Source organism: Homo sapiens, chromosome 8, assembly GCF_000001405.40.
Source record: "Homo sapiens chromosome 8, GRCh38.p14 Primary Assembly".
In the NCBI taxonomy this organism is placed as follows: Eukaryota; Metazoa; Chordata; class Mammalia; order Primates; family Hominidae; genus Homo; species Homo sapiens.
In genome coordinates, this window is record NC_000008.11 from 79,915,590 (window position 1) to 79,928,924 (window position 13,335).

At 38.7% G+C, this 13,335-nt stretch overlaps 2 protein-coding genes and 1 long non-coding RNA gene across 4 annotated transcripts in view; 1 reads left to right on the forward strand and 2 right to left on the reverse strand.

Moving 5' to 3' along the window:
- LOC124901966 (uncharacterized) overlaps positions 1-13,335 on the forward strand; it is a 39,094-nt gene that overhangs the window by 23,775 nt on the left and 1,984 nt on the right. The window contains exon 2 of one of the 2 annotated variants that reach the window (XR_007060976.1): positions 10,745-10,859. The exons of the other annotated variant lie outside the window; for it this stretch is intronic. This is a non-coding gene — a long non-coding RNA (uncharacterized LOC124901966). The remainder of the gene's footprint in view (positions 1-10,744; positions 10,860-13,335) is intronic. 2 annotated transcript variants of the gene reach the window in all.
- Positions 3,128-13,335, reverse strand: part of TPD52-MRPS28 (TPD52-MRPS28 readthrough) — a 252,848-nt gene continuing 242,640 nt past the window's right edge. Inside the window, exon 7 of the mRNA NM_001387778.1 lies at positions 3,128-3,559. Coding sequence (NP_001374707.1) covers positions 3,391-3,559 — 169 coding nt within the window. The 3' untranslated portion in view covers positions 3,128-3,390. The remainder of the gene's footprint in view (positions 3,560-13,335) is intronic.
- MRPS28 (mitochondrial ribosomal protein S28) overlaps positions 3,128-13,335 on the reverse strand; it is a 111,543-nt gene continuing 101,335 nt past the window's right edge. The window contains exon 3 of the mRNA NM_014018.3: positions 3,128-3,559. Coding sequence (NP_054737.1) covers positions 3,391-3,559 — 169 coding nt within the window. The 3' untranslated portion in view covers positions 3,128-3,390. The remainder of the gene's footprint in view (positions 3,560-13,335) is intronic.

Sequence of the window (13,335 nt, forward strand, 5' to 3'; positions counted from 1 at the left end):
CTGAAACATCAGAAGGTATAGACTCTGTCTTCTTTCCTGACCACTGTTCTTAAGATATTACTTAATCAGGCCAGGTGCAGTGGCTCACACCTGTAATCCCAGCACTTTGGGAGGCCAAGGTGGGTGGATCACAAGGTCAGAAGATCGAGACCATCCTAACACGGTGAAACCCCGTCTCCACTAAAAATACAAAAATTAGCTGGGTGTGGTGGCGGGCGCCTGTAGTCCCAGCTACTCAAGAGGCTGAGGCAGGAGAATTGCTTGAACCTGGGAGGCGGAGGTTGCACTGAGCTGAGATCGTGCCACTGCACTCCAGCCTGGGTGACAGAGCGAGACTCCATCTCAAAAAAAAAAAAAAAAAAAAAAAAAGATATTACTTAATCAATACTCTCCTTGGCTTCCAGTCTTCAGAGCAGTGAAGTATCCGGTTTAGTGCATTTGTGTATGTGCATTTGGCCCACTCCTTTACCGCCCCACCCCCAATTGTTTCTATAGAGGAAGGCAGATAGCAAAGTCCAAATACTAAATTGCCAGAATCATGCTGGAAAGGGAGAGAAACAGCCAGTTTGGGTGGAAGTGGGCTGCCACATCATTTAAGTGGAATGGGGAAAGGAATCTAGGTTATTTTTTACCTTTTACCCCAATTTTTTTTTTTCTCCTTGAGATGGAGTTTTGCTCTTGTTGCCCCGGCTGGAGTGCAATGGCATGATCTCGGCTCACTGCAACCTCCGCCTCCTGGGTTCAAGCGACTCTCCTGCCTCAGCCTCCTGAGTAGCTGGGATTACAGGTGTGCACCAGCAGGCCTGGCTAATTTTTTGTATTTTTAGTAGAGATGGGGTTTCACTATGTTGGCAAGGCTGGTCTCGAACTCCTGACCTCAGGTAATCCGCCCACTTTGGCCTCCCAAAGTGCTGGGATTACAGGCGTGAGCCACCATGGCTGGACCCCAAATCTCTTTATTCTGACCTCCCCTAACCCCATTTCACTCTGAGATCTAGAAGTACCTGGTTCTGCCAGTTCCTGAATATTCTGAGGATTCTGCAGTAAATCAGGTTGGTTTTCAGCTTTCTGCACTGACAGCTAAGAATGTGTCTATCTCTGTTCTGCTATGTAAATGTCTATTCATCCATCTATTTTCAGATTGCAAAATTTTGTTCTCTTCCTGTTTTTCTCATACTTGACTTTTTTTGCTGTGGGTATTCATGTGTCTCTATCAATCAATCAATCATCTATCTTCCTATTCATCCGTCCATCTCCCTTTGTTGTAATTTTAGTGAGGCTTTGGAGGGAATAAAATTAGATGTATGTATTAACCTGACATCTTAACCTGAAATTCCAGATTTAAAGTGATACCAATCAATGTAATTGTAAGGTTTTCTCCTGTAATGCTGAGCAGCTCAGGTGCAGGAATGAAGCAGGTAGACATTTAATCAGGGTTGAAGTTATGCCAGGTGAAAAATGGAGGGAGGGAGGAGACTCAACGGTGTTTTGTTTGCAAGGGAGTCATCATAGTGATGTGCCCCAGACTCTAAAGCTGGATGAAGAGGATAGTGAGAACATGATGATGAGTGAAAAAATTGGGAGTCAATGGGGATTGGAGTCTGAAAGATTTTTGAAAAAGTGCTCAATTGGGTACACAAAATTAAGGGAGCAGGAAGGATAGTGAGTGGAGGGCTTAAAATTTGGATTTGAGACTTTGCAGAGGTGGCTATTGGGTGTGGCCCTGGGAAGGGGTGGTGTGGCACACTCTTTTGCCACAGTATCATTAATTCGCTGACCTTCTACACTGTGACACTGTCACACCTCCACTAAGAGGTGGAGTCTTATTCCTTCCCTTTGAATCCAGACCCTATAACTTGTTTATAACCAACTGGGTAGAAGTGAAGCTGTGTGATTTCCTGCACTCGGTCAGATAGTGTCGGCCTGGTTCTTATCGAATGCTCCCTCTGGGGAAAGCCAGCATCATGAGAGCCATCTACCCCAAGACTGCCATGCTGGACGGGCCATGTGTAGGTGCTCTGGTTGACTGTCCCAGCTGAACCTAACCTTTCAAGCACCCCTGCCAAAGTACTAGACATGTGAGTGAAGCTGTCTTGGACTCTACTAGAGCAGCCAGCCAGGTGACTTCAATTGATACCATAAGAAATGAAATTGCCCAAGCCAGGTCAAGAACCCCGCCTATTTCTTGACCTACATCATTTGTGAAGTACGATTACATGTTTATGATTTGCAAGTATCTTTCTTTCATCCAGAGCTCTCCCGTGAACTCCAGAGCCATATATCCAACTGCCTTCAGAACATCTCCAGTTAGATGGCTAATATGCATCTCAAATTTAACATGTCCAAAATTGAGTTCTGAATAGTTCTCTCAAACCTGCTCTTACCTACCTCAGTTAAAGGCAATGAAAGTCTTCCAGTTGTGCAGGCCAAAAACCTTGTTGTCATCCTCACTCCTTTCTGTCTCACATATTCCATATCCAATGTGTTAGGAAATCCCACGGGCTCCATCTTCAAAATATATCCAGATTTCAACCACTTCTCATCAATTCCACTGCTACTACCCTGGTCCAAGCTGCCATCATCTCTTGCCTGGATTACAAGGATAGTCTCCTTACAGGTCTTGCTGTGGCTGTCCTTGTTCATCTTAGGTCTACGCAGCTAACTTACTCAAAGGGATCCTGCTAAAATGTCAGATTATATCCTTCCTCTGCTCCGAATCCTCCAATGACCTGCCATCTCAATCAGTAAATAAATGCCAAAGTGCATACTAGGACCTACGGAGCCTCCCTCACCTCTCTGTTCATCTCCTACTTTTTTTGTGCTCCTACAGTGGCTTCCTCCGTGGTCCTTAATCTGGATAGGTGCAGTTGTGTCTCAGGGGCTTTGCACTAGTTGCTCCTTCTGCTGGAAAACTCTTCTTCAGAGACCCATGTAGCTAGCAACCTGTCACTCAGACACCTTGTAACCCCATTCCTTGCTTCCTTTTTCTCCTTAGCCGTGTATCACTGTCTAACATACTATATATTTCACTTATTTATTGCCTGTTATCCCCAGTGGAATGTAAGGGCCAAAAGGCAGGCAATTTTGTCTAATTTGTTTACTGCTGTTTAAACTAGTACCATGCACATAGACAGCACTCAAAACGTATTTATTGAATGACAATTTCTTAGTACAGTGTATACTATCCCCACCAAAGGAAAAAAACATTAAGAGCAAAACAAGGGGTGGGGGGTGGGAATATTGCTAAAGAAAATTCTAATAAGAGTTATCTATAATTATAGCTTTTATTTATTATATCTTCATTCAATCATTTATTCACAATTAGTCTAATTGCATTCTTGATGAATAACTGACTTCAGCAAAGGAGTCAATCCACTAAGCAAAGTTCATTTATTTTTCATGATGTTCTTCTTTCGATCTTGAGTCTTTACTCTCCTGGATTCCCAAGAGAACTGCATTAGCCTCTAGTACAGTTGTATCTGTTGTTGCTCCCAGGAACCTAGACGTAAGTTCAAGATCTAATAGCCGCAACCGGACCCTGGTTCCTTTCTGGTATTTCCTAAATAGTTAAAAAAAAAAAAATCCATTAATTCTGAATATCATAACATGAACAACTAGTTTAATAACAACAACCAAATTCCAATTTTAATTTGTGTTAGCTCAAGATGAAGTTAACACTGGTATCTTAGAAATAGCTGTATTTGACAAAAAAGTAATTTGATTGTATCAGAAAAGCCCCCATCACCCAACTTTTTGTTTTGAAAAAAAAAAAAAAGAGTTTCACTCTGTTACCCAGGCGGGAGTACAGTGGTGCAATCAGAGCTTACCGTAACTTCAAACTTCTGGGCTCAAGCGACTCTCCTGCTTCAGCCTCCCAAGCAGCTAAGACTACAAGCATGTACCACCACGGCCAGCTAATTTCAGAGTCAGGGTCTCTCTATGTTGCCCAGGCCAGGCTGGTCTCAAACTCCTGGCCTCTAGTGACCCTCCCACCTTGGCCTCCTAAATTTTGGGGATAACAGGTGTGAGTCACTGCCAGCTCTAGAATTTTCATCTTAAAAGTTGCCTTTAAAGATTTTAAAACCACAGTAAACGGAAATTCAAGCAAGACAGTTCTTAAAACTGGTGTTTGCTTTAATTTGTCAATTAAAGTCAGAGAGTATCAAGGGGAAAAGAAGTTTCAGATACATTTTCCTTCTAAAATTAAAACTTTATTTTTTTATTACACTTTAAGTTTTAGGGTACATGTGCACAACGTGCAGGTTTGTTACATATGTATACATGTGCCATGTTGGTGTGCTGCACCCATTAACTCGTCATTTACGTTAGGTATATCTCCTAATGCTATCCCTCCCCCCACCCCATAACAGGCCCCGGTGTGTGATGTTCCCCTTCCTGTGTCCATGTGTTCTCATTGTTCAGTTCCCACCTATAAGTGAGAACATGCGGTGTTTGGTTTTTTGTCCTTACGATAGTTTGCTGAGAATGATGGTTTCCAGCTTCATCCATGTCCCTACAAAGGACATGAACTCATCGTTTTTTATGGCTGCATAGTATTCCATGGTGTATATGTGCCACATTTTCTTAATCTAGTCTATCATTGTTGGACATTTGGGTTGGTTCCAAGTCTTTGCTATTGCGAATGGTACCGCAATAAACATACATGTGCATGTGTCTTTATAGCAGCATGTTTTATAATCCTTTGGGTATATACCCAGTAATGAGATGGCTGGGTCAAATGGTATTTCTAGTTCTAGATCCTTGAGGAATTGCCACACTGTCTTCCACAATGGTTGAACTAGTTTACAGTCCCACCAACAGTGTAAAAGTGTTCCTATTTCTCCACATCCTCTCCAGCACCTGTTGTTTCCTGACTTTTTAATGATCACCATTCTAACTGGTGTGAGATGGTTATCCCATTGTGGTTTTGATTTGCATTTCTCTGATGGCCAGTGATGGTGAACATTTTTTCATGTGTCTTTTGGTTGCATAAATGTCTTCTTTTGAGAAGTATCTGTTCATATCCTTCATCCACTTTTTGATGGGGTTGTTTTTTTCTTGTAAATTTGCTTGAGTTCATTGTAGATTCTGGATATTAGCCCTTTGTCAGAGGAGTAGATTGCAAAAATTTTCTCCCATTCTGTAGGTTACCTCTTCACTCTGATGGTAGTTTCTTTTGCTGTGCAGAAGCGCTTTAGTTTAATTAGATCCCATTTGTCAATTTTGGCTTTTGTTGCCATTGCTTTTGGTGTTTTAGACATGAAGTCCTTGCGCATGCCTATGTCCTGAATAGTATTGCCTAGGTTTTCTTCTAGGGTTTTTATGGTTTTAGGTCTAACATTTAAGTCTTTAATCCATCTTGAATTAATTTTTGTATAAGGTGTTAAGAAAGGGATCCAGTTTCAGCTTTCTACATATGGCTAGCCAGTTTTCCCAGCACCATTTATTAAAGAGGGAATCCTTTCCCCATTGCTTGTTTTTGTCAGGTTTGTCAAAGATCAGATAGTTGTAGATATGAGGCATTATTTCTGAGGGCTCCATTCTGTTCCATTGGTCTATATCTCTGTTTTGGTACCAGTACCATGCTGTTTTGGTTACTGTAGCCTTGTAGTACAGTTTGAAGTCAGGTAGTGTGATGCCTCCAGCTTTGTTCTTTTGGCTTAGGATTGACTTGGCGATGTGGGCTCTTTTTTGGTTCCATATGAACTTTAAAATAGTTTTTTCCAATTCTGTGAAGAAAGTCATTGGTAGCTTGATGGGGATGGCATTGAATCTATAAATTACCTTGGGCAGTATGGCCATTTTCACCATATTGATTCTTCCTACCCATGAGCATGGAATGTTCTTCCATTTGTTTGTATCCTCTTTTATTTCATTGAGCAGTGGTTTGTAGTTCTCCTTGAAGAGGTCCTTCGCATCCCTTGTAAGTTGGATTCCTAGGTATTTTATTCTCTTTGAAGCAATTGTGAATGGGAGTTCACTCATGATTTGGCTCTCTGTTATTGGTGTATAAGAATGCTTGTGATTTTTGCACATTGATTTTGTATCCTGAGACTTTGCTGAAGTTTCTTATCAGCTTAAGGAGATTTTGGGCTGAGACAATGGGGTTTTCTAGATATACAATCATGTCATCTGCAAACAGGGACAATTTGACTTCCTCTTTTCCTAATTGAATACCCTTTATTTCCTTCTCCTGCCTGATTGCCCTGGCCAGAACTTCCAACACTATGTTGAAAAGGAGTGGTGAGAGAGGGCATCCCTGTCTTGTGCCACTTTTCAAAGGGAATGCTTCCAGTTTTTGCCCATTCAGTATGATATTGGCTGTGGGTTTGTCATAGACAGCTCTTATTATTTTGAGATACGTCCCATCAATACCTAATTTATTGAGAGTTTTTAGCATGAAGAGTTGTTGAATTTTGTCAAAGACCTTTTCTGCATCTATTGAGATAATCGTGGTTTTTGTCGTTGGTTCTGTTTATATGCTGGATTACGTTTATTGATTTGCTAAAACTTTATTTTAAAGTAAAATTTTACGAAAGCAAAATGGAAAAATGTCTAAGTGTAAAGTACTCAGTATTTGGGATTGGTTGCATTGTTATTAAAATGTAATGCCAGTTGGATGAACCTGGAGGACTTTATAAACCAGGCACAGCATGACAAACCCCACATGATCTCTCACTTATATGTGAAATCTAAAAAAGTTGAACACCTTGAAGTAGAGAGAACTACAGCTCCTGTGGTTACCAGGTCAAAGGATGTTAGTCAAAGGATACAAAATTTCAGTTAGATAGGAGGAGTAAGTTCAAGAGATCTACTGTACATCATGATGATGACAATAATATGTTGTAGACCTGGAAATTGCTAAGTGAGTATATTTTGTGTTCTCATCATCAAAAATGATTAAGTACATGAGGTAATGCATTTGTAAATTAGCTCGATTTGGCTATCCCACAATGTATACATACCTCAAAATAGCATGTTATACCCAATAAATATGTACAATTTTTATTAGTTAAAAAATAAATTATGAATGAAAATGTAATGCCAGCCATAACATATGATGACTCAATTTAGTCAATAAAATATTCAAGTATTTTATAATACCAAATGAAAACTGATACCCATTTGCCTTTCTTCCTCAATCAATTATTTTAAAAGTTAAACATCAACATTATAGAATAGCAAGAGTGGAAGTACTGCTGGTTAAAAATCACAAATCTTTAACAGTCTAAATATATACTTTATATATTCTAATTTAATTTTAAAATTAAAATAACTTTATATAAACAGAAAATGAAGAAACAAAGTTCTCAAAAAAGTCACTGGAAAATAATTTTGGTAGACTACATATGATTAGTCTCCACATAATATTTGGGTGTTCTGAAGAAATTTACGTATGGTCCATCAAGTAAACATTTAGGCTATTCAGCTTTTTTTTGAGAAGTTACTTTTTCTGATTTTAGAAATAAATGTCCTTTTGTAAAATCTGGAAAATGATGAAGTCAGTCACATTTTCTAGTCCTTCTATATGTTTATATGCATATATGTATATATGTGTATTTGACATCATAGGTAATATTTTGTGTCTTTGTTTTAAAAAACTAGAGATATCCTCCATGTTACAGATAGAAAAATTATGGTACACGGAAGTAAAGCTACTGGCCTAATGCCACACAGTGGTGTAAGAGGATTCACAGATTCTTCTGCTCCTCCTTAAGTTTTCAATTACCTATGACCTCTTGAAAGAACAGTAAACATAATCCCTTTAGGAGTGGTAAGAATTTATCACTCCATAGAGTCTTATAATGTCTTTCCTATGAAGTAAAATATAAGCCATATTGCTGCTATTCAACTCATTATTTTAATATTATCCATTAGAAAAATGGCTACTTTCAAATAAATTATCATTAAAAACAATATCTACTGCCTCATGCAATGTTATTTTTTACATTTTTTTTAATTGGGGAAAAAGCCCCCCAGGCAGCAGTTTTTCAGAAATCTTGTATTTCCTATTAAAACCAAAGAATACTGCTGTCTTGAAAGGCAAATAGGATGTCTCCACTGAGCACATTCAAAACGAAAATAGCCTGTGTTTTTACTGCTTGGTGTGTTTCTTTTAACTTCAAGTGCTTGCTTCTGACTGATCTTTGTGAACTCCAGCCTAAATGGATTCAATCTCAGCCTTTACCAAGACTGCTCTCTTCCACTGTGCACTTTCTCAGGCCATATGCTGCAGTAAACGAGACTGCATGTCTGAGCTGTATAGGAAAAGGGCAATTAAATCTGGTTTTGCATTTCTGTATTAAGGGCATGGTTTAAAGACTTTCCTTTGGAGAGGTTTCTGACATTCTTTCCACAGACATTCTTTAACATCTGTCAGTGCATGCTACTGATGGTTCTCACAGACTTAAAATAGAGAGAATCTCTCTGACTAGTTCTTTGATATAAACATATTAAGTAATACAAAGCCAACAAATACAAAGCTTGGATTGAACCTCGGTATCCAAAGAGAATACTGTGAGGAATTCTGACTTTGCTAGTCAAATTAGCTGTCTTGCTGTAATCATAATTCTCAGAAGTTTTAAAATAGTTCTTTTGAAATCATTAACCATCTATGTTTTCATCCTACTAAGTTAAAATCATTCAGATATTTTTCTGGCTTTCTCACAATTCCTTAATTAGAGTTTTAAGACTACAGAAGAAAAGTTTCCATTTTCTCTTTTTTCAAGAGGAAGAAAAACATTTCTAAAGGTTTAATTAACATCAATTTGTTTATTTTTCTAATTCATACAAATGCTCACAGTCATACCAATCTATATGTGAAGTCAGCAGCCACGTCCCTGTGTGTATGTGTGTGAGTAAGTAGGAATGTGTGTGTATTTTCTTCTTTAAATAAACTGTCTGGGCTTCAATTTCATCATTGTTAAAAAGCAGAGGGTCAGAAAAGACCTTAGATCTTTTGCAGTTGGAAGACTTTATTCTACTTTTAAACAATTGTATCAATTACAATTGATACAATGTAAAGTGATATTACATGCAAAATTGATTGTATACGCAAAATGCAAACTTTTAAGCCTTTTTATTAGCTATATAAAACACTGTAATAATCTTGAACATTCAATTAACAAATGAATCTTTATATGCAGACTACTTGGTTTATTTCAGGTTTGCCCCACTTTTTCAAAGTACCATCTGCCATGTTCCCTCGACCTGTCTAGTCTATTGCTTCTTTCCATTCAATCTGTAAGATGCCTATAAAGAGTCTCTCATTTGTTGTTTTTATTCCCTAGATGATCATAAGCAGGTAACATTACATAACCTCTAACTTATTTCTAGACAATCTATTGAATAAGTGGCTAATTATTTAAACTATGTGTTTTAGTATTGCTATGTTTTTTAATATTGTTCATCACTGTACTATCTGTACTGTACACCATCAAGCACAGAAGCCAAGATTAACAAAATAAACATGAGAGGGTGTTCAAAAAGTTCTACTCCTCTCCAATATTTCTAGTCATCATTAAAATTTCAAATACAGCACACATCTTAAGTCCTAATTTATTATCCCAGGCCATTAGAAGATGTAAATTGAGATATAAAAATTATTATAATCATAATTTTTGCTACCTGAGTTATTCCCAAAAGTCCTTTGAAAAAAAAAAAAACTAATGATTATCACTTAAAAATACTATCTAGACTGTGCCTACCATGAGGCCAAATAATATGTATAACTGGCCCGTTGGAAATCTACATACTCTCACAGCAATGAGCAAAAGAGACTGTTCATATACCAAAACACATTTCCTCAAACTGCAATTATCCTGGATAAAGATTTTAATCTTGTTCTAAAATTCTACTATGAATATATAATTTTCAAGTTCTTTTTAACCTTGCCGGGCTAGTATTTTGTGCCACCACAAACAGAAGTTTTGTCTCTTGTTCAAGCATTGATTTATTTTATAAAATGTGAAAATGGAGGATTTAAAAATGTCTAGTAAATGATTTCATTTTTTAATAATGTGGAATATGCATATAATACATTATAAATGGTATCAATTATGACAGTTATAATTTTTTCTCAAGTTACAAAAGAAGATGTGTCAAGAAATGAGGGAGGGCCAGCCATGGTGGCTCACGCCTGTAATCCCAGCACTTTGGGAGACCGAGGCAGGAGGACTGCTTGAGTTCAGAGTTCAAGACCAGCCTGGGCAACATGGCAAAATCCCATCTCTACAAAAAATACAGAAATTAGCTAGGCATGGTGGCAGGCGTCTGTGGTCCCAGTTACTTGGAAGGCTAAGGTGGGAGGATTGCTTGAGCCTGGCTGGTCGAGGCTATAGTAAGCCAAGATTACACCACTACACTCAGGCCTGGGTGACAGAGCAAGACCCTGTAGAGAAAAGAAAAGAAAAAAAAAAAAGAAAAAAAGAGAGAAAAGAAAAGAGGAAAAGGAAAACCCTGTCACTTAACTACCATCATATCAAGTCTATTTTTATTAAAAAACTAAATATTTTTTGCTAGTCAAATATGAATACATACATATGGAAAGGGGAAAAAAAACCAAAGAAACAGAAGGAGTAAATGCTTTCAGGTACCTGAAATATGCTGATGATTAAAATTGGGATCAAACTTGGCAGTAGTATTATGACTTTTAAGCAAAAAGGGATACGTTTTGGAGTATGCAATTTTCATTTTAAGAGAAAAGAAAATATATACATTTATTGACTGAAACAAGTTTTTTCAGTGTAGCACAGAGGTTTGACTGTGACCAAGTACAAGAAATCTACCTTTTCTGGGCTGTTTACTCATCTGCAATATGCAACACCTTGCAAGTCTGACAAGAGGCTTAAGGCATTAAGGTATGAAAAGTGCATGGCACATAATAAATACACAATAAATAGGAGCTTACATAATTCACCACATCAATACTTATTTATAAAGTACAATAGGCAACCAAAAGGACAGTCACTTCAAATATGGTTTTACTAAAGATACTAGAATACTATTCAAGTGGACAAGTCTAGTAGCAACCTTCAACATATATAAAATAAATGACAGGAGAGCAAAACTCATTGAAGGCATTCTTTGAGTTTGGGGATTTGGGGCAGAGGGAGGGGATAATAAGGTCCAGAGATTACTCTGTAGTTTACAGTGACAGACTTGGTATATCTGTGGGGAGCCTGAGCTGGGAGCTATCACAGAATATCTGTGGAATATTTTTAAAGTTGTTTTTCTTAAAAAGAAAATACTGATGGCCTGGGGTCCAACCCAGACCTGCTGCAGCAAAATCAATAGGGTAGAGCTAGAGATTCACGCACATTTGGGAAAACACTTCCCATATGAGTCTGGTCTCCCGACTGTTCAACAAAATCACTGATTAATGCGTTCAGCAGCTATTCTCCAAATGGTTTGTGGTAGTTTGGGGCCAGGCTGAATCTTGCTTACTTCAAGCCTTAATTTCCTTACAAGTGCATGCAGTTTAGACATTATGTAGAAGGTCAAAGTTAGAACTATGTGTTTTAAATATCAGCTATGACAGGGCAAAATTGTTTTTCCATTATGAAAATTAAAGAGATTAACAGGTATTTTCACCTAAACAAAAGGCTGAATCATTTTAGCTTGGCTACATAAGGTTTACTGTCATTAAGGTTGTACTTTCATGACCAAAAGACGTAAGATTTTCAAAATCACTAGCACAATGCTCGAGAACATAACACTTGCTCCATACACAAGAGTCAAGTTTTGGCTTGACAACTGCTTGATGGCAAATGTTATTTCCTGATTTCCTCATCCCTAAAATGTCCTTAATAATGTCCTTCCATGGTAAAACCTCTGTCTCCAGATTCCTAATCCCCTGCACTTTCGACTACATTAAGAGAACAGAAAACTTCTAAAAAATTTGTTGTACCACCTATTTTCAGGTTTGGTTAAATCTTGTTTCTGTCTCTCTGAATTAGTTACTTATTAAATAGGTATTGTTGAATTTTCAATAAACACTTGTTCAATACCTATATGAAGTAAGAGGATACCAACAACAATTAGACAGACTATCCCCTCTCCTCTCCTCTCAACCCCAGGAGGCAAAGATGGAGGGAAAAGTCGTATTCCACTAATTCCCTCAGTGGGAAGAACTACTTTAGGTCTGTCGTGATTTCTTTGTCTTTTCAACAAGAGATGAGACTTCATGGATCCCTTTTGGAAAGCCAAATACTTAAGAGACTGTTATTGCAGTAGAGTATGTAGGTTGGCAATGGTCAGAGAGAGGAAAAAATCTTTCATAAAAGAATCAGACCCATGCTGCAGATTCCACACAATCCAGAGTGCTTTAAATAGCCTTTTCTGTAGGACAAGAACCAGGGTCAACCAGGGAGCAGAAGGGGAAAGGGTGGAGCACAAAGACTACTATCCCATGCTGACCAGGCTTATGTTAAGTAGATTTGAAAAAGACTCTCGGCTGGGCGTGGTGGCTCACACCTATAATACCAGCACTTTGGGAGGCTGAGGCAGGAGGATAGCTTGAGTCCAAGAGTTTGAAATCAGCCTGGTCAACACAGCGAGCCCTTTTCTCTACAAAATAAAAAAAAATTAAAAATTAGCCAGGTGTGGTGGTGAGTGCCTGTAGTTCCAGCTACTGGGGAGGCTGAGGCAGGAGGAGCTCCTGAGCCCAGGAGTTCAAGTCTGTGGTGAGCCATGATCACGCCACTGCTCTCCACCCTGGGCAATGGAGTGAGCACCTGTCTAAAATTAAATTAAATTAAAAACAAAAAGAGACTTTCAGGGCTTAGAATAGAGTTCGTGACTTGACCATAGGTCGTGTTTGATATTTGCCCTTTGCACCCCCAATTTGGAGTATATATATATATATATTTTTTGAGACACAGTCTCTGTCACTCAGACTGGAATACTGTGGCACAATCTCAGCTCACTGCAACCTCCACCTCCCGGGTTCAAGAAATTCTTGTGCCTCAGCCTCCCAAGTAGCTGGGATTATAGGTGTGTGCTACCACACCTGGCTAATTTTTTGTATTTTTAGTAGAGATGAGGTTTCACCATGTTGCCCAGGCTGGTCTTGAACTCCTGGCCTCAAGTGATCCATCTGCCTCGGCCTCCCAAAGTGCTGGGATTACAGGCATAAGCCACCATGCCCAGCCTAAGTACGTTAATTAAACACTACAGGCCAGGCATGGTGGCTCACGCCTGTAATCCCAGCACTTTGGAGCTGAGTGGGCGGATCACCTGAGGTCAGAAGTTCAAGACCAGCCTGGCCAACACATAGTGAAACCCTGTCTCTACTAAAAATACAAAAATTAGCTGGGCGTGGTGGCGCATGCCTGT